The sequence below is a fragment of the Homo sapiens genome, chromosome 2 (genome assembly GCF_000001405.40).
Source record: "Homo sapiens chromosome 2, GRCh38.p14 Primary Assembly".
Taxonomy (NCBI): domain Eukaryota; kingdom Metazoa; phylum Chordata; class Mammalia; order Primates; family Hominidae; genus Homo; species Homo sapiens.
The window spans coordinates 122134730-122157664 of NC_000002.12; the positions used below are offsets into that span (position 1 = coordinate 122134730).

Genomic DNA, 22935 nt, shown 5'->3' on the forward strand with positions numbered 1-22935 from the left:
TTGTAAGTGCTATGAATAAAAATAAAGTAGAATAAGGAAATACAGTACAGTGGCGATGCAGTTTTGGGTGGGGTGGTCTAGGAAGGCCTTCTGAAGGGGTGGCTTTGGTCGTATAACTGAATGAATTGAAGAAGAGAGTTGTGTGAAGGTCTGTGGTAGGACTAGTCGAAAGGGACTGCAGTGCAAAGGCCCTGAGGCAGGAGTGAAATGGCATCCCTAGGGAGCCAGCAAGGAGGTCATAGTGGCTGGAGCTGAGTGGGAGCTGCTGGAGGGCCTGCAGGCCTTGGCAAGGAGTTGAGCTTTCATTCAGTGGAAGCTGGGGAGCTGACGACTTTGAGTGGAGGAATGACATGATCTGACTTAGGTTCTCAAAGGAGCAATCTCACTGCTGTGTGGATAGTGGATTGTAGGGGTTGGTAGAGTGGAAGTGAGGAGACTGCTGAGAAAGCCTGTGTAGCAGGGGAGAGGTGGGGCTGGCTTAGGATGGTGGCAGAGGATGGGAGTGGTCAGATCCTGGGTGCATTCTGAGCCACAAGATTTACTGATGGTTTGACTGTGGGATGAGAGAGAGATAGTCAAGGGTACCTGTAAGAGTTCTGGACTGAGTAATCAGTCAACTGCGATGAGAGGGAAATAGGGCCAGGAACAGATGGGGCGTGGTGGAGCTGGGCAGGGGGCTCAAGGTAAACCCTTGGGAACCACACATTTAGATGGAATTTAAAGCCACGGGACTGGACGAGCTCATGGAGGAAAAGAGTTAGCTATGGAGAAGATAAGGTTGCCGCATGTGCTGGGCGTGACGCTCTGCTTCTCTCCGTTTTTTTGTTTTAACATGAGGGAAATAACTGATATAAAATTCCTTCTCTAGTGGAGCTAACTTGTCACATGGCAAAACCTCTTTCCCCCATCAAAAAGGGTAAGGTGCCTTTGTTATCTCCACACACCAGATGCAGGCACTGAAAGGGCTGTGTGTGGCTCATGTGCTTATCAGCAGCTTTTCTTACATAAAGCCCCTCACACTTGTCTTTTTGTCCTTTCTCTTCCCCTTTTGCCTTGTTAACCTGTGTTGACAAAATATGCAGTGAGGCCAAAATCAAAGCACACAATATTTTTATTCTCCCCGCAAGAATGTTTGCCCCACAGATCTGCTTTTAGAGGAAGATAAAGAAGAAAATACCAGTTTGCTCCTGGCTTGTACCAAAAACCACGTTGCGCATTCTTCCAGCTACACTGGAAGAGTGAGAGGCAGCCCATCAACTTCTCGGAGAGTTCTGTGCTTGAAAGAGTGTTTGTGGTTTGCCTGTTTCTCCAACAGCAGATTTGTAAGGGAAATCTGCTGTTGGAGAATATTCAAAAAGTTTGGTGTGGAAACCAGGTATTACTGGTTTCTTGCCTCCACTCTGGTGCTGGTCACCAACAGATTCTTGTCCCCTTGAAGAAATGGTGCCAGGGACACTCTGGGTGCTTCTCTGGCAGGAAGAACACTTCTACCCTGGGAACCCCAGGACCATGCAGAATCCCCACGCCCTCTAGGGGTCCTAAGTAGCCAGTGCTTCAATGTGCTCCTGGTGGAGGTCCCAAGGTGGCACGAGGAGACCACATGAGTTCTCCTGAAGACCCTTTAGTATTTCCTCCAAGTTTCATTTTCCAGACTCTGGTATTCTCCAAGGCACCAAGGAATGGCATTTTGTTTTGACTGAAGGTAAGATTTATGGCAAATAAGATAAAGATTCTTATCTTAAAGAAAATTCCAGGAGGGCATGCTGGGGTTTATTGGTGAAGTGGGACGGTCAATCTGCACGTCTCTCTCCCAGCTTCCTCATAATGACTTTTCAATGCTTTTTACATCCAGTGGAGACTCTCTCCAAAATGCTTGTTTAAACCCAGGTCACCAGAGGGTGCGTCTGATCTGCACTGTCAGCTGTGGTAGCCATTAACTACCATGTGAAATGTGGCTAGTCAGAATTGAGATGTTTTGTAAGTTCAAAATACACACCAGATTTCAAAGGCTAAGTATGGATACAAAAGTAATATACTTTATTAGTATTTTTGTATATTGATAACATGCTAAATTGATAATATCTGGGAGATGTTAGGTTAAAAATATTGTTAAAGTTAATTTTATCTGTTTCTTTTTATTTTTATGCAAGAAAATTTAAAATTACATCAAGTATAGCTTGTATGCTATTTCTCCCTAGACATTGCGGTGCTAAGGAGCAATAGAGGAAGTCCCCTTGGAGCCACAGGAGACTTGCCATAAGGAATGGTGTTTCCAGAGTGCAAATGTGGCCTGCCACTCCACAGTGTGAAACACTCCAGAGGCCCTGCAGTAAAGCCCAGTCCCAGTAGCACGACTTGCAAGGCCCACTATGAGGCTCTGTGACTCAATTACCTTCTATTAGGCTCCACCTCCCAACACAGTTGCATTGAGGATTACTTTTCCACCACATGAATCTGGGGGAAACATTCAAACCATAGCAGGATGTTTCATAAAAGGGTGCTGTGGTCTGAATGTTTGTGTCCCTGTCTAAATTCATATGCTGAGATCCTAATTCCCAAGGTGACAGTGATGGGAGGCAGGGCCTCTGAGAAGTGATTAGGTCATGAGGGTGGAGCTCTTGTGAATGAGGTTGGAGCTTTTCTAAAAGATGCCTCAGAGAAACCCCTTGCCCTTTCCACCATGTGAGAAAGATGCTGTCTAAGAACCAGGAAGCCAGCCCTCACCAGACGTTAACTCTGCCAGCACCTTGATCTTGGACCTCCCAGAACTGTTAGGAATAAATTTCTGTTGCTTATAAGCCACCCACTCTGAGGTATTTTCTTATAGCAGCCTAAGGAGACTAAGACAGGGGTGAAGCATTTTCTTCTCTTGCAGATTGTCAAAACAACAACGACGGTGACAATGGCAGCACCTGTTGGTTGGTATCCAAGGTGTCATGCCAAGAAATTTCACACTTGACTCTCCTCTTAAAAGGCCATTGTATTAGTTCCTTTTCATACTTCTATAAAGTACTGCCTGAGACTGGGTAATTTATAAAGGAAAGAGGTTTAATTGACTCCCAGATCAGCATCACTGGGGAGGCCTCAGGAATCTTACAATCATGGCAGAAGGTGAAGGGGAAGCAAGGCACCTTCTTTACACGGTGGCAGGAGAAGAAATGCCAAGCGAAGGGGAAAGAGCTCCTTATAAAACCATCAGATCTCATGAGAACTCACTCTCACGAGAACGGCATAGGGGAAACCCCCTCCATGATTCAATTGCCTCCACCTGATCTCTCCCTTGACACGTGGGGATTATGAGGATTACAATTCAAGATGAAATCTGAGTGGGGACACAAAGCCTAACCATATCAGCCTTCTCTGGTTTTTTAAAGTTGTCCATGTGGTCTAACCCTTGAGTCTTCATTCTCTCCTCAATATGAGATAATAGCAACATTCCTCCCTGGTTCTCTGGGAGAGCAGCTAAGGGTCAAGTGCTTTGTTAGGCGAGTGGACTGAAGCTAATCCATGTAGGAACGGAGGAAGGAAGCAATGTTTTTGGGCTTCTTCTATGTACCAGGGACCGACTGACTCTTCAGATCCATGTTTCATTAAATCCTCATGACAGCCCCGCGAACAGGTGTCATCATTGATATCTAACAGACAAGGAAGGCACATCGTTGTGAGGCTAAGTGACATCATCAAGGGCCTTAGGAAGTGGCGGAGCTGTGCTTAGAGTTCTTGTCTATGTCCTTTCTTAATTTAGGGAGTTTCTTTTCCTTTTGTCACATTCCCGCTGTTACTCCCTGCTGCTGTGTCATGAGTAACAAGTGTCAGTTTCTTGCTTGTCACTTGTAATTTGCTGCTTTTGATTTGCTCTAAGCGGAAGATGAGAAACTCCAGCGTGTTCAATTGCTGTTCAACAGGGAGGCCTGGGGCAATTGCTGTGTGTCTTGCTCTGCATCTCTAGGCCTTTAAAGAAACCCAGGCTGTTGACTCTCAGGCACCAGGCAGCACATACGCTTTATCCGCTGCGGCTACTCCTCCAGGTTTCGGTATTCACCCAGGACCCCTCCCACCTGCCAGCACCAGTCGGAGGTTGTTGTTCTTGTCTGCCTGGTGTTTGAATCCTCTGGCTCCCAGCAACTAGTGTAGGCTGATTTTTTGATTTGATGCTGTGTGCATTCTCTTTTCTGGCTTACTCTCTTCCTCTCAATGTGCCCATTTCCTAATTTTTTTTGCATTTGCAGCTCTGAAGAAGTGAGAGTTTTGCTGTCAGCCCCAGGCCCACAATTCTACTTCATGGACTAGATTAGACTCCAGGGACATGTGGGACAATCAGGAACTGTATTTAGTGGCTTGGCCACTCAGGGGCCAAGTTCTTTGCCTTCTTAACTGTAGCTGGATTCTGGAGACTTAAAGTTGTCTGAAGTTTGAAACATTATTGCGTGTAACTGTGGCTAGTTTTCAGAATGTATTAATAAATATATACATATTTGCTTGGACAATATAAGTATACTTGAAATTTTAAAGGTATGTGTGCCTGTGGGTTTAGGTGTGTGTGTGTGTGTGTGTGTGTGTGTGTGTGTATATATATATATGTATGTATGTATGTGTATATATATATACATATATATATATAATTTTTGATGTTGTATTCTTGTGCTCAAACCACTGGACTAATGTGTCTAGTTAAACCATTGAAATAGAAGTTTCACTGGGAAGAATGGAAATGGACCCCAGGCCCACCACGGTGGAGGGGCACCGGGATGGAGTTCGTTATCTTTAAAGTAAACTTAAGCCCTATGACTGGGCCTGCGTCCTCAGCCCAGGTTGATGTGGCTGTGGGATCAATTAGAGGAGTCACGGAACCCTGCGTCTTTCTTTGGGAAAGCTTCCCAGGATCCCTGCTTCACTTTGCCCAGGTCTTTTCCTGCACTTCCTGTTTTGGGCTGGGCTGCCTCTGCTGCTGGCCTTTCCTTGTGGCTTCTTCCTGGGTCTTGCCCAGGGTCTGGACGGTGGTACTCAGGAGCCTCACTGAGCTCTGGTGTTCCGTGGCAAAGCCTGCCTGGAAAGCGGGTGGGAGCTGGCCAGGCCAGGGACCCGGGGGCCAGAGAAGAGGGAAGAAGGGCACTGTAGGGCCAATAAAAAGGGAGGCTGGGAACATTCAAACATAGGTTTTCTTTTCTTCACCATTTTTTTCCTGTGTGTAGGTAAAAATCATGCCAGTCAGCATAATTCCTTTGTCAGGTGGAATAAGGATAAATGGATTTAATTTCTATTTTTGGATGCTGTTCTGTCTTTGCATTCCTTTTGTCTGAAACCCTTGATCAGCTGGAAGGGTTTGGCAGTACCGCGTTTCAGAGCAAAGCGATGAATAGAGAAATAATTCATAAATAATAGATTCTAGTCTGAGGGAAATAGATGGCTGGTTTTCAGTTCTAAGAAGAAAAGGAGGGCTGCAAACAAATATTAACAGTACTTGACGCAAACATGAGGAGTTGTTTCCATCCCAGGCTTTCTCTGTGATGTCAATAACAGATAAACGGCCCACAGAGCTGACCAGCCGAAGACCAATGTGCCTCTCCTGACTTGTTGCAAATGCACAAAAACCATATGCGAAGCCATTTAGTTTTTGCTTTTCCTTTGCCAGGAAGAAAAAGTGAAAGGGGGCAAGTCAAAGTCTCTTCAAAATCCGATTTGGCTTTTTCCAATGGGATCATCTATCTTCCTTGTATCTAGTTTTGCCAGTTAAACACTAATGATGCACATTCGCAGATATGATCTGTGAGTGCAATTTATTTCTGAATTCAAGCCTTGCTTCTTAAGAGTATTTGCTATAATGGATATACTGGAATAATATCATGGATTAAATAAAAGAGGCACTTTAGGGAAAACAAATCTGCCAGTGGAGACTCCAGTGGAGAAACAATTTTTACTTGTCTCCTCACATCCAAATTCAAAAGGCATTTTCTAGGGAATTTCAGCTTCTGGGGATAAAAGTGTTGGGAAATTAACTGACCAGTTAATAGTTGCTACTGTATATTAAATGTGCCTGACACTGCATTAGACCTGTTATATTCAGGATCACGTTGAACACTCATAGCAGCACTGCTAGCTGCCTATCACTACCCCGCTGTACACATAGAGAGTTTGGTTCCTGAGCTTTCTGAGCTCACCTCTTCTTCTTCTTTTTTTTTTTTTAATTATCCTTTAAGTTCTAGGGTATGTGTGCACAACATGCAGGTTTGTTACATATGTATACATGTGCCATGTTGGTGTGCTGCACCCACTAACTTATCATTTACATTAGGCATATCTCCTAATGCTATCCCCCCGCCCCACCCCACGATAGGCCCCTGGTGTGTGATGTTCCCCATCCTCTGTCCAAGTGTTCTCATTGTTCAGTTCCCACCTATGAGTGAGAACATGTGGCGTTTGGTTTTCTGTCCTTGCGATAGTTTGCTCAGAATGCTGGTTTCCAGCTTTATCCATGTCCCTACAAAGGACATGAACTCATCATTTTTTATGGCTGCATAGTATTCCATGGTGTATATGTGCCACATTTTCTGTATCCAGTCTATCATTGATGGACATTTGGGTTGGTTCCAAGTCTTTGCTATTGTGAATAGTGCTGCAATAAACACACGTGTGCATGTGTCTTTATAGCAGCATGATTTATAATCCTTTGGGTATATACCCAGTAATGGGATTGCTGGGTCAAATGGTATTTCTAGTTCTCGATCCTTGAGGAATCGCCACACTGACTTCCACAGTGGTTGAACTAGTTTACAGTCCCACCAACAGTGTAAAAGTGTTCCTATTTCTCCACATCCTCTCCAGCACCTGTTGTTTCCTGACTTTTTAATGATCACCATTCTAACTGGTGTGAGATGGTATTTCATTGTGGTTTTGATTTGCATTTCTCTGATGGCCAGCGATGATGAGCATTTTTTCATGTGTCTGTTGGCTGCATAAATGTCTTCTTTTGAGAAGTGTCTGTTCATATCCTTTGCCTACTTTTTGATGGGGTTGTTTGTTTTTCTCTTGTAAATTTGTTCAAGTTATTTGTAGATTCTGGATATTAGCCCTCTGTCAGATGGGTAGATTGTAAAAATTTTCTCCCATCCTGTAGGTTGCCTGTTCACTCTGGTGGTAGTTTCTTTTGCTGTGCAGAAGCTCTTTAGTTTAATTAGATCCCATTTGTCAATTTTGGCTTTTGTTGCCATTGCTTTTGGTGTTTTGGTTATGAAGTCCTTGCCAATGCCCACGTCCTGAATGATATTGCCTAGGTTTTCTTCTAAGGTTTTCATGGTTTTAGGTCTAACATTTAAGTCTTCAATACATCTTGAATTAATTTTTGTATAAGGTGTAAGGAAGGGATCCAGTTTCAGCTTTCTACATATGGCTAGCCAGTTTTCCTAGCACCATTTATTAAATAGGGAATCTTTTCCCCATTTCTTGTTTTTTTCAGGTTTGTCAAAGATCAGTTTGATGTAGATGTGTGGTAGTATTTCTGAGGGCTCTGTTCTGTTCTATATCTATATCTGTTCTGTTCTGTTCTATATCTATATCTGCTCTGGTCTATATCTCTGTTTTGGTACCAGTACCATGCTGTTTTGGTTACTGTACTCTTGTAGTATAGTTTGAAGTCAGGTAGTGTGATACCTCCAGCTTTGTTCTTTTGGCTTTGGATTGTCTTGGCAATGCGGGCTCTTTTTTGGTTCTATATGAACTTTAAAGTAGTTTTTTCCAATTCTGTGAAGAAAGTCATTGGTAGCTTGATGGGGATGGCATTGAATCTATAAATTACCTTGGGCAGTATGGCCATTTTCACGATATTGATTCTTCCTATCCATGAGCATGCAATGTTCTTCATTTGTTTGTGTCCTCTTTTATTTTGTTGAGCAGTGGTTTTAGTTCTCTTTGAAGAGGTCCTTTGCATCCCTTGTAAGTTGGATTCCTAGGTATTTTATTCTCTTTGAAGCAATTGTGAATGGGAGTTCACTCACGATTTGGCTCTCTGTTTGTCTGTTATTGGTGTATAGGAATGCTTGTGATTTTTGCACATTGATTTTGTATCCTGAGACTTTGCCGAAGTTGCTTATCAGCTTAAGGAGATTTTGGGCTGAGATGATGGGGTTTTCTAAACATACAATCATGTCATCTGCAAACAGGGACAATTTGACTTCCTTTTTTCCTAATTGAGTACCCTGTATTTCCTTCTCCTGCCTGATTGCCCTGGCCAGAACTTCTAACACTATGTTGAATAGGAGTGGTGAGAGAGAGCATCCCTGTCTTGTGCCGGTTTTCAAATGTAATGCTTCCAGTTTTTTCCCATTCAGTATGATATTGGCTGTGGGTTTTTCATAAGTAGCTCTTATTATTTTGAGATACGTCCCATCATACCTAATTTATTGAGAGTTTTTAGCATGAAGGGCTGTTGAATTTTGTCGAAGGCCGTTTCTGCATCTATTGAGATAATCATGTGGTTTTTGTCTTTGGTTCTGTTTATATGATGGATTACATTTATTGATTTGTGTGTGTTGAACCAGCCTTGCATCGCAGGGATGAAGCCAACTTGATCATGGTGGATAAGCTTTTTGATGTGCTGCTGGATTCAGTTTGCCAGTATTTTGTTGAGGATTTTTGCATCGATGTTCATCAGGGATATTGGTCTAAAATTCTCTTTTTTGTTGTTGTGTCTCTGCTGGGCTTTGGTATCAGGATGATCCTGGACTCATAAAATGAGTTAGGGAGGATTCCCTCTTTTTCTATTGATTGGAATAGTTTCAAAAGGAATGGTACCAGCTCCTCCTTGTACCTCTGGTAGAATTTGGCTCAGAATCTGTCTGGTCGTGGACTTTTTTTGGTTGGTAAGCTCACCTCTTCTTAAAAAGGCTTAGCTAAGAAATACCACTGTCAATGATGGGTTTTCTTTTTTCCACATGATGGTTGGCGTCACCCCTCTTGCTCCAGTGACCATCACCTTCTGTTAGTGGTGTCTCCATGACAACTGACCAACTTCTTTTCCCCAGCCTAGGATTTCCCTCTTCTCTGTAAGTCCCTGGAAGGTAGCTCATATCAGACAGTCCAGACTACTGGGCAGGAGTGGGACCTAGTTCACAAAGGTTGTTCAGGTTAACCTTCTAGAAAGACATAAACACGCCTTTGCAGAAAAGTGCTCAGAGCCTCCTTACAGCCTTCCCTGATGTAATCCACTCATCAAGCACTTTGAATTCACTTGGCATCTCTGCATTATGTTTGTGTTATCCATTCAATTCCCATGGAATTACTCTTTGTTTTGGGGCAACGCTATTCTTTTACTTCTTGTATGTTTTCTGAGTTGCTTCTCTATCTTTTGCGAATACAATGGTGATGGTGTTTCATTTTTTTTTTTTTTTTTTGGTTCACAGCAAAAGTGAAAGGAGAATACAGAGATTTTCCATATACTCTCTGCCCCTGCATATGCATAGCTACTGTAATTATCCACATCCCTCACCAAAAGTGATACATTTATTAATTGATGGATCTGCAGTGACACATCATAGTCACCCAAAGTCCATAGATTACATGAGGGTTCACACTTGGTGTTGTATATTCTGTGGGCTCAGATAAACGTACAATGACATATATTATATATATATATTTATTTATTTATAGTATATATAAATACTATATATAGTATATATAATATTATATATACTATATATAAATATATGTAGTATAAATAATATATAATATAGATATATAATATAATATAATATGTTATAAATATAAATATATTTATATAATTTAATTTATAATATATAATATATAATATATAATTTAATTTTATAATATATAATATATAATTTAATTTTATAATATATAATATATAATATGTAAATTATATATAATTTAATATATCTAAATTATATAATTTAAATATAAATATAATATAAATATATCTAACATAATATACATAACATAAATATATATAGTATATATAGTACATATAAATATATATAGTACATATAGTATATATAAATATATAGTATATATAAATATAGTATATATAAATATATAGTATATATATAGTATATATAAATATATAGTATATATAAATATATATAGTATATATAAATAATATATAGTATATAAATAATATATATTATTAAATATAATAATAATTTATTATATATACTATATATTATTATGTATTATATTATATATATTATTTTATATTTAATATATATTATTTTATATATTATATTTAATATATATTTTATATATTGTATAATTTTATAGTTTATATATTATATATATTTATCTGTAATATGGGATAGTAATGGCCAACCCACAGGGCTGTGGTGAGGAATGTTCCTGGCAGAGTGCCGGGCTCATGGCGGGTGCTCGATGAGTTAATTCTTTCTTTCTGTAAATATAAAATACCTCACTGATCTCTGAACTAAAGCAGTCTCACTTCCTTCCAATATTTCAAATGGGGTGGGGCAGGGAGTTAGTTCCTTGAGTAGTTCAATTAATACTAGTTTCTACTGTGTGTTAGGCATTTTGCTAGGAGCTCTGTTCAAGAATTAAAATTCTGGACCAAGTTTAATTCTTGTATTTACTCTTCAGGGCAGTTGCGCACTTTTACAAATGAAGAAAACAAATCCGGGGAGGTTGAATGTCTTGCTTCATATCATGTGGATGGAAAGATTCAAATCCAGGATCTTGTTGAGCTTGTTCTTTGCATTTTGCCAAATTTCCTACTAAATATCAAGCATTTTGATGGGCACTAGGGAATAGTAGAGTTGAAAATAGCATGGTACCTTTCCCCATAAAGCTTATGGATTAATGGGAGGAAGAGGACAGATATTTACAGGGCTTTTAGAAAACCATGTGGAAGTTCAGAGACAGGTGTGCCCAGTATGCCATGGGAGACAAGTAAAGAGGTGCTATTGAAGGGTGGGTGGACCATCTGTGGGCCTTTGGTTTCCTTGGAGTCCATTGTCTGTGGTCTGGAGTTAGATTCTAATCATCAGGCAGGACATCAGGGCTAGCTCCATAGAAATGATTTACTGGCCACATTTACAAAGACTCCCTCTCTGTGTACTCTTGGTCTGTAGGTAAAGCCACTGGAAGTCACTTTGAAAGACTTGTGCCTCATTGAAAAAGACACATCTCTGCATGGTTTTCATTCATTTGCTTCATCTCCCAGACAAGCTTTCTTTTTAAAGGTGAGAAGAGCCCATTTCCCTGCCACCTGTCAGTGTTTAGCTTGCCACTGTGGCTTATTACCGCTGCCATCTGCTGCCAAGGAGAGATATGCATGATCTGGGTAGGTACTCATAAAAGTCATTAGAGGAATGGAGGCGGAGCTGAGGATCCAAGTGGAAACATTTACTATCAGCACAATAACAGTCCTTGCTCTCCTGCCTCCTTCCCTGATACCCAGCAGGGTCACCACTCCCTGGCCCCAGCTGGCCACCGCCATTGACACATATTCTCCATACCCTTCTTCATGCCACCCCATACTTGGCATGGACTCTGTTTCATTTCATCACTCAAAGTCATTGCAGAGCAGGTACAGGGACTATTTAGAAACTATGAAGCAGTTTGACAATATGTTAACTTTTATCTCGTGTATTGACTAGTGGAGGCAATTTGATGTTTAAGGAGACATCACATCCTCTGAATTTTCTGCTGTTAAAAATGAATGGCTTCAGTATAATTCAGTTGAGTTAATTCATTCCTACAGATCTTTCCTGGACATCATCAAGGGCTACAGAGATGAATAAGATGAGGCTCCTGTCTTAAGGAGCTCACAGTGGTTGTGTTGCATATGCTTGCAAGTGTGTGCATGTATGATGTAATCAACAATTACAAGTGAGATAGGATGTGTCCTATGAGGGGAAGAAGTTTAGATGCTGTAGTGTCCTCAAGGAGGGACATAAATGTCCTCATATAAGTTTGGGGTCAAAGAGTAAAGAGGGGTGGGTGAGACATGTGATCAGATATGCATTTAGGAAAAATAATCACTCTGGCTGCAGTGTGGAGGGCTAACTAGAGCAGCCCCAGAGTAGAAGGTTTCTGAAATAGTCCAGGTATGAGATGGTTTAGGATGTTGGTAGAGATAGAGAAAAGTAGATGGTTCAAGAGATACTAGGAGAGTAAAACCAGTAGGTTTAGTGATTCATTTGATATGGCAAGTGAGGAAAAGGTGGTGTCCGGATGACACTAACACTTCTGGCTTAAACAATAGGTTTGTCAGTAGTGCTATTGAATGAGATATAATTCCTGGAAGAGAGCAGAATGAGAAGCTGGTGGAGAAGAACAAAAGTTTAGTTGTAGAGCTTTTGTGTGTGAGATGTTTTAGCAACAACCAAGGGGAGACGCTAATTAAGCAGTTTTACTTGAAGACCTAGAACAGAGAAAAGAGGTCTGGGCTGGTTTTATAAATGTGTGAGTCTTTTTTTGTTTTGGTGGTAACTGCAACCGTGGGATGGAAGACAGTGTTGACTGAGACAAGAAGAAATGCCTGGGATGAGGTTTTGAGGGCTTCCACTATGTTTGGGCTGAGAAGAAAGATAAACTTGCAAAGGAAGTGGAAGTATGGCCAGAGAAGAAAAAATAGAACAAGAAGGGTGTTAGGTTATGAAAGTTTAAGGAAAAGTCTTTCAGAAGAGAGGAAAAGACAACAGTGTCAAATGCGATTGAAAGGCCCACTAAGATGAGGCCTGGAAAATGTCCACCGTGGCTGCATGGACATCATTGGAAATATTAGCAAGGGTTATTTAGGTAGAATAATGGGCATCAGATACAGATCAGAGTGGACCGTGGAGTGCATGGGGTATGAAGGCACGAGTGAAGACAACTCTTCCTTAAGGGTTGACTGTAAAGGGGACGAGGGAGACGGGGGAGTAGCTGAAACTGGACTCTGGCGACTCAGATGCTTAAAAGCAGAGAAAGATCAATCAGAGAGAGGTTGTGAGTATTGTAAGGAAAAGGGAAAATGATAATAAGAGATTCCATAGGTGGTAGGCGGCAGTGGGATCCAAAGATCATTTGGATGGATAGTTGTGTCAGCTCTTCTGCCGTAGGAGAGAGAGAGAGAAAGGGGGGTTTCCTTCACATCTGTGTGTTTGATTGTGGGATTTTCCTGTCTAATAGCATCTGTTTTCTCTGTAAAGCAGGAGGCAAGATCCCCTGATGAGACAGAAGAGTGTGGGTGGGTAGCAGGGGTGGAAGTTTGAGAAGAATAAAGTTTGAAAAAATTACTATGAAGTAAGGCAAGAGATGATGTAGTAGGTTTGCTTGGCAGAGTGCAGGCTCACTTGAGGTTAAGGATCAATAATGTGCAGTGGTCTTAAGCTGCCATGGTTGGCTTTTCCTGCTTAGACAGAGGCTAGGAGGTGGCACTCAGTTGGATTTTCCTGGGCTTGGGTTTTATCTGGATAGTACGAATAAAAAGCAGCAGATGGTTCAGGGAGCCTAAGGTATGGGCAAAAATATTGTTAAAATCATGGACCATGGAGTCCAAGTTGAGTTAGTAAATGAAGAAAGAAGAAGGCTGATGACTAGAGAGAAACTATAGTTCAAGAACTGTCAGAGTGAGAGGAGTTGGGTGAGCAAGGTGGAGGGTAAGAGATTGTGGCTGACAGTGTTTGCATTAGTGATTCTAGAAGTATAACATTTACTGAAGCATGAGGGGGAGGGGAAGAGAGGACCATTGGAAATAAGTAGGTCAAGAAACAGAATTAAGAGGCCATCTGTGGGGTCATCCATTTGGCTGACATCACCCAGGATGATGGCAAAGCCTGAGGAAGAAAAAGCACATAAATGCAAACCTTCAATGAGTGAAAGGGAGGGGCTGGGAGATTGGTAGATTAGAGCAACTGCAAGCGGAAGGAGGATGCGTGCTGTGTATTCAACCAAGAAAAAGTAACAAATAACTGTCAACTTCCCTTCAGAAGGTGTTAGTAAATCGTTAGAGCTATTCTTAAAGCATTTATTCACATACTTTAATTTTTGTAAAGGACACATTTGGAATTGCAGCTGAGTTCACATTGGTGGTGCCTCCTCACACCTGGTGGTGGACCCCAAGCTGTCATTTTGAAAAATGTCATGTACTTCTATGCACAGGATTTTTTCCACCCCTCCAAAAAAATTTCTCATATTGAAGCCCTAACGTCCAATGTGATGGTATTTGGAGATGGGGCCTTTGGGAGGTATTTAGGTTTAGATGAGATCATGAGGATGGGGCCTCATGATGGAATTATAAGAAGAGACCCCAGAAAGCTTGTTTCCTCTCTCTATCTCCACCTGTATGCACCCAGGAAAGGCCATGTGAGGGTACAACATGAAGGTGGCCATCTGCAACTCAAGAGAGCCCTCACCAGACACTGACCCTGCTGGCGCCTTGATCATGGATTTCTAGTATCCAGAATTGTGAGAAATAAATTCCTGCTGTTTAAGTCTATGGTATTTTGTTATGGTAGTCTGAGCTGACTAAGACAGCTCTACCCTCTGCTTCAACCAATCTCTGAATAAGTGGCGGTCATCTGTGATGAGCTGGGTCAAAGCTCAGATCTTTCTGGGAGTTTGGGGTGGACCAAGAGGGCATCTCTCCAGGTGGCTTGAGCCCTGAGAAGTAGACTTTGAGGCTGCAGGTAACCATTTGATGGGCAGCAAGAAAGCCAGTTTTCTGACAAAGAAGAGAGAGGTCGATGCCCTGAGAGAAAGAGCTGGGGGACAGGCAGCTGATACTCCCTGGGATCCAGATAAAAAGACTTGTGGCTGGTGATTGTTCTTCCTGGGACCAGTTAGTTCCTTGCTTTTGATTTCCACAGATTAAATCTTAACTATTTGTTATTGCAAAATTCTATGTCTTATTTTTCCTTATAAAGCTAGCTTGAGTTCATGTCTATAATTTGCAAACAATAAAAAATTCTCCAGTAAGCCCTTTGCTGTGATGTTTCCCCTTTTTACTGTAGTCCTCCCTTGATATCCATGGGGAGGGGGTTGGTTCCAGGACCCCCTAAAGATACCAGAAATCTGTGGGTGCTTGAGTCCCGTGTGTAAAATGGTATAGGCATTTGCTTATAACCTACACACATCCTCCTATATGCTTTAAATTATCTCTAGATTACTTATGATACCTAATACCATGTAAATACTGAATAGCTGTTATACTGCATTGTTTTTATTTGTGGTTTTTATTGTATTGTTATTTTTCACTGTTTTTTTTTTTTCCTGATTATTTTCAATCTGCAGTTGGTTGAACCTGGGGATGCACAACCTGTGGATATGGAGGGATGATTGTATTTACCTTTTGGTGCTGCACAATCTTTTATAAAGTGCCTCAGAATCCATTGTGGACCAGGTGAATTATAAATATATGAAACAAATTTGGGTATTTTCTTCTGAAGCTGAGTAGAAGCTGCTGAGGTAGGCCTTGAAGTGTCTTGGGTGCCACAGACAATAGGAAAAGTCCATGCTCTAGAGATGGTGGTGGCTGACCTGTGGTTCCCGCAGTTGTAGAAGTCTGTCTTCTGTCACAAAGGAAAATTATGTTGGCCTGACACAACTTATTTTTAAAGCATTATTAACTTTTTCCTAGTTTGCGCTCTCTTTGCCAGGAATTGCAGATTGGTGAGTTATTTGTGCTTTTCCTCGGAACACACCACGAATAGTCTCAATTATGGCTCCAAACAATTGTGATTGCTATTATTGCGATTTATAGAAGTGCTTAGATTTCTAAATATCCTTTTATGACTCTCTATTTCTATGGTAACCTAGACAGGCTCTTCAGTACACATGGGCACCTCTTTGGGAAAACATGATAGAAGAAAATCTGAATTTACGGAAGAGATAAATAAGAGGTTGACTATTCACATGGTTTTATAGAGGATTCACAGAGAGCGGGTTCCCCTAGTGCATTCGGTGCATTCCCTCTTCTCTTTACAGATCATGAACAATGTCTTACACATAATAGGCTCTGAATGAAAATTTTGTTGATTGATTGATGAGCCACTTGGGAAGGAGAGAAATGTGAAGCTAGGGTCATAGTTTGCTGCTGCCAGTTGGAGATAAATCAGAAAGGAAGAGAAAGCATCTCTGAGCAAATAGCCACGTCCGTGGGGAAATGGGACTCTATTTTAAAAAATATGATTCACATACAGTTTTTAGGAAGCTACTTGCTGCATAATCCAAGATACACATGAATTTTTCACTTCAATGTCCTCAAAGACCTAAGAGAGCCTTGCCCTGGGTCACAGCATTGAGCAGTCAAAGAAGGAAGTGGGCATGCATTCTGCTGCTATGCTGGGACCCAGCATTTTTACAAAGAGGAGCTACTCTTTATTTCCTCAGGCTGAGATCACTATGGGGAGGGGTTGCATTTTGCAATCCCCAGACCTTGAACAGCATAGAGGCAGAGGCTATGCGGACTCTCTTTCCTGCTGGGTGCCTGTGTTTGTAAGGATTCCTGGTTGCGAAGAGTAGATATCCACTGGAGCTGGTTTCAACAAGAAAGGGGGGGTTTATCATAAGGAAGCAGAGTTAATGTCCTGGACTCTAAGGGCAGAAATGGAAGTGGCGTCTCAGACAGGGTTGACCCAGGAGGTGAAAAGTTGTCAGAAACACAGGCAGCTCCTGTCTGCACATGTGTTCTGTCCTTTTATTTTTTTCATCCAGTTCTGGGTTTACCTGTCTCTGCATGCACATGGGAGCACACCCCGGAGAAGGAGGCCACTGACACCATGTAGACACCGCAGACAGGGTCAACTCCAGCCTTCATGGCAAGCCTGTGATGGTGTGCCTGTGGCAACGAAGTAGCTCTGAGAAATGTAGTGGAGTCGAGAGCTACCAGCAGATAATTTGGATTCAACATGAGCTCACCAAGTACCCCTTGCACGCCTTTCCCTGAGATAGGTGCTGGGAGACAAAGTAAGTCTGAAGCAGCCTCACCCTGTCAGCTTGTTGTTTGGCTGGTGATATGGCTTCACTGTGTCCCCATCGAAATCTCATCTTGAGTTATAGTTCCCATAATCCCAATGTGCAGTGGGAGGGACCTGGTGGGAGGTAATTGAATCATGGGGTGGTTACCCTCATGTGGTTCTCATGGAAGTGAGTGAGTTCTCATGAGACCTGATGGTTTTATAAGGACCTTCCCCGCTTTTGCTTGGCACTTCTCCTTGCTGCTGCCATGTGAAGAAAGATGTGTTTGCTTCTCCTTCCACCATAATTGTAAGTTTCCTGAAGCCTCCCAAGCTCTGCAGAACTGTGTCAATTAAACCTCTTTCCTTCATAAATTACCCAGTCTTGGGCAGTTCTTGATTAGCAGCATAAGAACAGACTAATACAACTGGGGAAGTGGACATGTAGAGAGATATGTAATGGAAATGACCAGGCTGGAGACAATCACAAATATTTTGGAGGGGTTCAAAGGAGGGGTGTGTGGCATTTCTGTGTGCATTTATTCATTCAATAAACCTTCCTTCATTTGTTCTTGAGGGTTTCTGTGGCCAGGAACTGCTCCAGGGCCTGGCAGTGCAGCAGTGGAGCTGGCAGACAGGGCCTCTGCCCTTGGGGAGTTTTCTTTCTGAAGGAGGAGGTGAACAACTGGCAAGTGAGCAAAAACATAAATAAGATAACTTTAGAGAATAATAGGACTGGGAAGGTGAAAATGGGGTGCTGGGATAGAGCCCTCAGCAGCCCAAGAGCACCTCCATGATGAGGCATCATGCCATGCTGAAGAGCGGGGAAAAGCACTAGAGGCAGAGAGAACAGCAGGTGCACAGGGCATGAAGGAAAATGAGCTTGACATGTGTGGGAAATACCAAGGGGCTGGGGCAGGGAGGAGAGGGCATGAAGGTCAAAAAGGAGAATAGAGGCAAGGTCACCATGGGTCTTGTAGGACCTTGTAGGCTGTGATCAGGACTTTTTAAGTACAATTGGAAGATTTCGAAGATTTTTGTCAAGGTTGGCCTTGTTAGTGTTGGGAAAAGACCATTCTGCCGGCTTGTGGAGGATGAGTAGTGGGGAGCAAGGGAGGAGTGGGAGGCAGTGTGGAGAGGGGAGGCACTGCAGGGGCTGGAGTTGGTGGTGCTGGGATTGGAGACGTGCTCAGGTTGAGGGTGTATTTTGGAAGAACCATTAGGACTTGCAAAAGAGTTGGATGTAGAGAGTGAAGAAAAAGGGGGACACAAGGATTTAATTCATGGGCTTTTAATACAGCAACTAGGGAAATTGTGGTGCCCTGTACCATGGAATGGAAAATCAAAAGTTCTACCTGATCCTATTCAAAGTGAATGTTCTCTTGGATGTCAGAGAACATTCTGGGTAGACAGAGAAGGAAGGGGCCTGGTGCCCTAGATCAGTGCTGTCCAGTGAAAATACAATGTGAGCCCACATATGCATTTTTTACATTCACTAGAAGCCACATTAAAAAGGTAAAAATGAAAATGTAAATTTTCATTTTTGGGTAGACAGAGAAGGAAGGGGCCTGGTGCCCTGGATCAGTGCTGTCCAATGAAAATACAATGTGAGCCCACATATGCATTTTTTACATTCACTAGAAGCCACGTTAAAAAGGTAAAAATGAAAATGTAAAAGTCATTTTGATATATATTTCATTTAATGCTGTATTTCCCAAATATTAAAATTTCAACATGTAATCAATATAAAATGATTAGTGAGATATTTTACATCTTTTGGATACTAATTCTTCAAAACCTGGAGCACATTTTCCACTTTCAACATATCTCAAACTAGCCTGGCCACATTTCAAGTGCTCAGTAGACACGTGTGGCTGGGGGCTACCATGATGAATAGTGGAGCTCTAGAGAAAGTTGAGGTTCAGAGATTTGCATTTGGGAATTACCATCACATAGAAGGCAGCCAAAGTGTTAGATTACCTAGGAACACCAACACCTAGAGAGTGCAGATAGAGAAAAGGCTCAAAAGCGAGCCCAGGGCACTCCAAAAGTCACAGGTTGAATGGAGGAGGAAAAGCCAGCGAGAGACTGGGAAAGAGTGAGCAGACACATTAGAGAATGTGGGGTGTGAGAAATCAAAGCAGCTAAGACACAAAGTGATTTCAGGACTCTGGAAGGCCCCATGGCTAAGTCTTGAAATACGAGCTGGCAAACAAAGGGAAAAGGGTATTCTGTTAGGGACAGAAGCAGCAAAGGAAAGAGAGCAAGGGTGTGTGGAGGGGTCCAGAGAGTGTGGATTGAATGCAGTAGCTGAGGGGTGCAGGGGGGATGGTCCAGGTGGGGCCACTGGAGCTCAGAGAGTCTCATGCCCATGCTCAGGACTTGGGGTTTTATTCTGTGGGTCAGTGGTCTCAGCCACATTTGCAGCCATGGCATTAGACTTGCGTTCCCATGCACCATGCTTCCCTACTCACGCTGGGGTCAGATACAGTCCTGTTCACCAGGGCTAGTGCCTGCTTTCTCTCCTACTCAAGAACAAAGAGTGAGAATCAGGATCTTTTAGGGAGAGTTGTTCCATATTGCAAACAAAAATCTCATTTCTAAATTTTAATTTCTATTAATAATGAATTACTGGCAGTACACCTCACAGGTGATTGCAACTTATGCCTTGGTGTGTCCCAAGGCAGCAGCTGAGAACTTCTGCTGTGGGCCTGGTGGGGCAGCCTAGAAGGCTTCCAGGAGGAAAGAGGCAGCATCCTGCTGCACTTTTGAGAGGCAGCCCCAGCAGTGTGGAGGGTGTCTCTGCCTGCTGGTTGTGGACTCCTGTCCTGGACCACTCCTCCAGCCCCTCAGTCCCTCTGCACCCTTTCATCTTTTAGTTTCACCTTCCATGATACACAGATCAAAAGCTGTACCCTGCTTGATGGCTCAAGATTCCTATATAGTCTTCTTTGTCCGCAGATTATTAATTAACACTTTACTATGCCAAACACATGCATTACAGATCCCACCGACAGTCAGAGAAGGGTGTGAACAGAACACAGCAGGTGTGAGCTCAGTAACTTTAAGCTCCACTCATGCATGTTTTTCTAATGACATACCATGGGCACCATTGCCCAGATGAGATCTGGACACTCAGGTGGTTTGGGGCCTGGGAGACAGTGCTGGGAGGTGCCAGGGTAAAGGAGAGCATGATGCAGTCTTTAGACCTGATCTTCTCTGCATAGGTCTGAATCTCACGGCTGCCCCCATACCCACAGGCTGCAGGCTGCTCAGAGGAAACCTGAGATGTTGAGGCCGAGGTCCCGGCTCCATCTCCATGCCTTTATTCTTTTATTCACTCAAGTTATCAACATATTGAGGGCTTATTCTATGCCAGACATGACTTATCAGTGGTTAAAAAAAAGGACACAGCCCCTGATCTCACAAAGCATACAGTCCAAGGGAGAAGACAAATATTAAACATACCAGTAAGTAAATTATTTGAAACTGCAAGTGCCACAAAAGGAAAGCACCAGGTTCTATTGGAGAGGACTGTAGGGTGTCTCTGGCATTTGGAGAAAGTGACATTTAGGCTGCCTAAGGCCGCTTACTACTTCTTGGCTAAAGAGACCTTGCCTGGCCCTGCCTCTTTGGGTGACTGGTTGTAGATGGGCCAGGCAGGAAAGGACCAACTGGCATGGTGGACAGGGGCCACTGCTCTGGGACTCAAAAGACTTAGTTAAGCCCTTGAGGGGGGCACTTGATGTCCCCAGCCTTTCGTTTTCAAGCAGTGAGAAAAATCCCTGCTGGAATTGCCTTCTGGAGCTCAGACAAGGTCTCACTGGTGAATGTGTTCTGGGAACCATGTGACACCACGTAAATACATGATGTTATCACATACAGAAATGTCATTGTTGCACCAGCTCCATGCCAGGCGCTGGGGGAGATTCAATGGTGTACAAGACCTAGCCCTGATTCACAAGGCCCCTGACCTAATGGTGAGCTGGAGCTACGCGTACAAGGCAAGAGCCTGTGCGTGACGTTTCCCCCAGCAGTGTCCACAGGCGGTGATAGCCGAGCGGTATCTGGAAACAGCAAACAGATTCCCTTTGCTTCTTGAAGAAGCCGCACCCTGGCTTTGGTCCTGCTGCCCCCATCCATTGACAATGTAATGATATCTAGAAACTCCAGGTGGATTGCGACTCCCTGGGATCAAACCCTTCAGTGCTCACTTGGTCCCTTGAGGAAGCCACACTCTGGTCCCACAGCCCTGGTCCCAGATGGTGGTGGTTGGGCTGCCTCCTGCCGTGGGCCCCTGGAAGCGTGAGCTTCACATTCCTCATGTTGGCAGGCCCCCTGCCTGGTTTGCCTCCCTGCCTTTAACCTCTCGAGTCATGATTTTGCAGAGCTCTGCTTCTTTCCATTGTCCACACTTCTCATCCCATATGTTATTTACTGTTTTCTCTGTGCTGAATTCATTTCTCACACATACCCCCTTTTCTGCACTTAGCAGGCACCATTCGGAATATTTCTTTATGTCTGTAAAGAGGACTCTTTAGTTACAAGTCACTGAAATCTGATCAAACCAGCTGAAAGTGGATGTGATTGTTGTGGTTGTTCTTTGAGGGGCCAGTATGGACTTACAATGCTGGGAAATTCAGGAAGTGAATCTGGCTTCAGGCACAGGGTATGTCATCCGGAAGCTGTCTCTTCTATTGATGGTCTCTGTTTCCTCCACGAGAGGCTTTATTCTCAGGCTGACTCCCCTGGGGTGGTGCACAGCTGCTGTCAGCTCCAGATTACGTTAATGAGGAGGGGGCACTTCTTTTCCAGTAGCTTCAGCAAAAGTTCTGGGACTGACTTGGCCCAATTCCGGAAGAGGGGAGACAGAACAGCAACAGATTCTACTGAACATGATTGCAAGGGTCCCTTCCATGGAATGAAGGGAGCCCAGCCCTGTAGGCCCTGAGGATTGCTGTTCCTTGGACACCATATCTTTATAGCAGGTCTCAGTTCCCCCAGCTCTAAAGTTTGGGTTGAAACACCAGCTGTTTTCTAAGCTTAATACTACATTTACAAATGCTTTGGACACAGAGCAAAGGGTGGGGAAATACGATATTTTTTCCCTGACGTACTTCTCTTTTTGAAGATAATTGGTGAGGATGGGAATTCACATTTGAAATCAATATTTTGGAAGACTTAATGGCAGCATGACAATTGCACATTTGTGGATCTCCAAAAGGGCAGCTCTGTGCAAATCAGAGAAGATAGAGCAAAAATCGGTAATTTCAAGTCTTGTTTGAGACAGATCATTCACAGAGAATTTTAACAAGCAAGGAAGCTGCTAGGAGGGACTCCCTTTCATGTTAGTTTTTCTTGTAAGATTCTTGATAGCAGATTCAGGGTGCAGCTGTTGAAAAGAGGGTTCATCAATTTAAAAGCTGCAGTGACTTCCCTTGCCTATAGAAATCAATTTATTCTTATTATTTTTTCACCAAGATATGTAAAGCCCTTTGCAATCTGGCCCAATCTGCATTCCTGTTCACTTTGCTACAAACAGCCATTGTCCTGGGAATGTTGCTTGTTTTCTAACATTTCTTCGTGCCACCCATGTTAATGGGCACCCACGATGTGGCAGGCCCTGTTCTAGGCACAGAGCAGACAGTGGTGAGTAGAGCCACACCCCTTCCTCTGCGTGTTGTCCTCAGGGACAGAAGGAGCAAGGTACAGCAGCGAGGCCCCGGCGTGGACTCAGACAGCAGGGGCAGAATGAGGCTCAGCCACGTGCCAGCTCTGTGACTCTGCAGAAATAATTTCTCTTCTCTAAGCCTCAGTTTTCCCTTTTATAAAATGGAGTCAGAATGTCTATTTTTAGCTTTGATGCCAGAATTAATAAGAAAATATGTGTAAGAACGGGCGTGGTGGCTCACGCCTGTAATCCCAGCACTTTGGGAGGCCGAGGCAGGCGGATCACCTGAGGTCAGGAGCACAAGACACAGTTGACCAACATGGTGAAACCTCGTCTCTACTAAAAAAATATAAAAATCAGCCA

The 22935-nt window shown here is 43.0% G+C and overlaps 1 long non-coding RNA gene across 6 annotated transcripts in view, besides 1 other annotated feature; it reads left to right on the forward strand.

Moving 5' to 3' along the window:
• The window catches only part of LOC105373592 (uncharacterized), a 530486-nt gene that overhangs the window by 232277 nt on the left and 275274 nt on the right, over nucleotides 1-22935 (forward strand). The gene's annotated exons all lie outside the window — the stretch shown is intronic.
• Nucleotides 1507-1616: a silencer, noted in NCBI's record as "silent region_11925". NCBI's record gives its function as "represses an Ori minimal core promoter by ATAC-STARR-seq in GM12878 lymphoblastoid cells {active_cell/tissue: GM12878}" and the evidence as "EXISTENCE:reporter gene assay evidence [ECO:0000049][PMID:35858748]".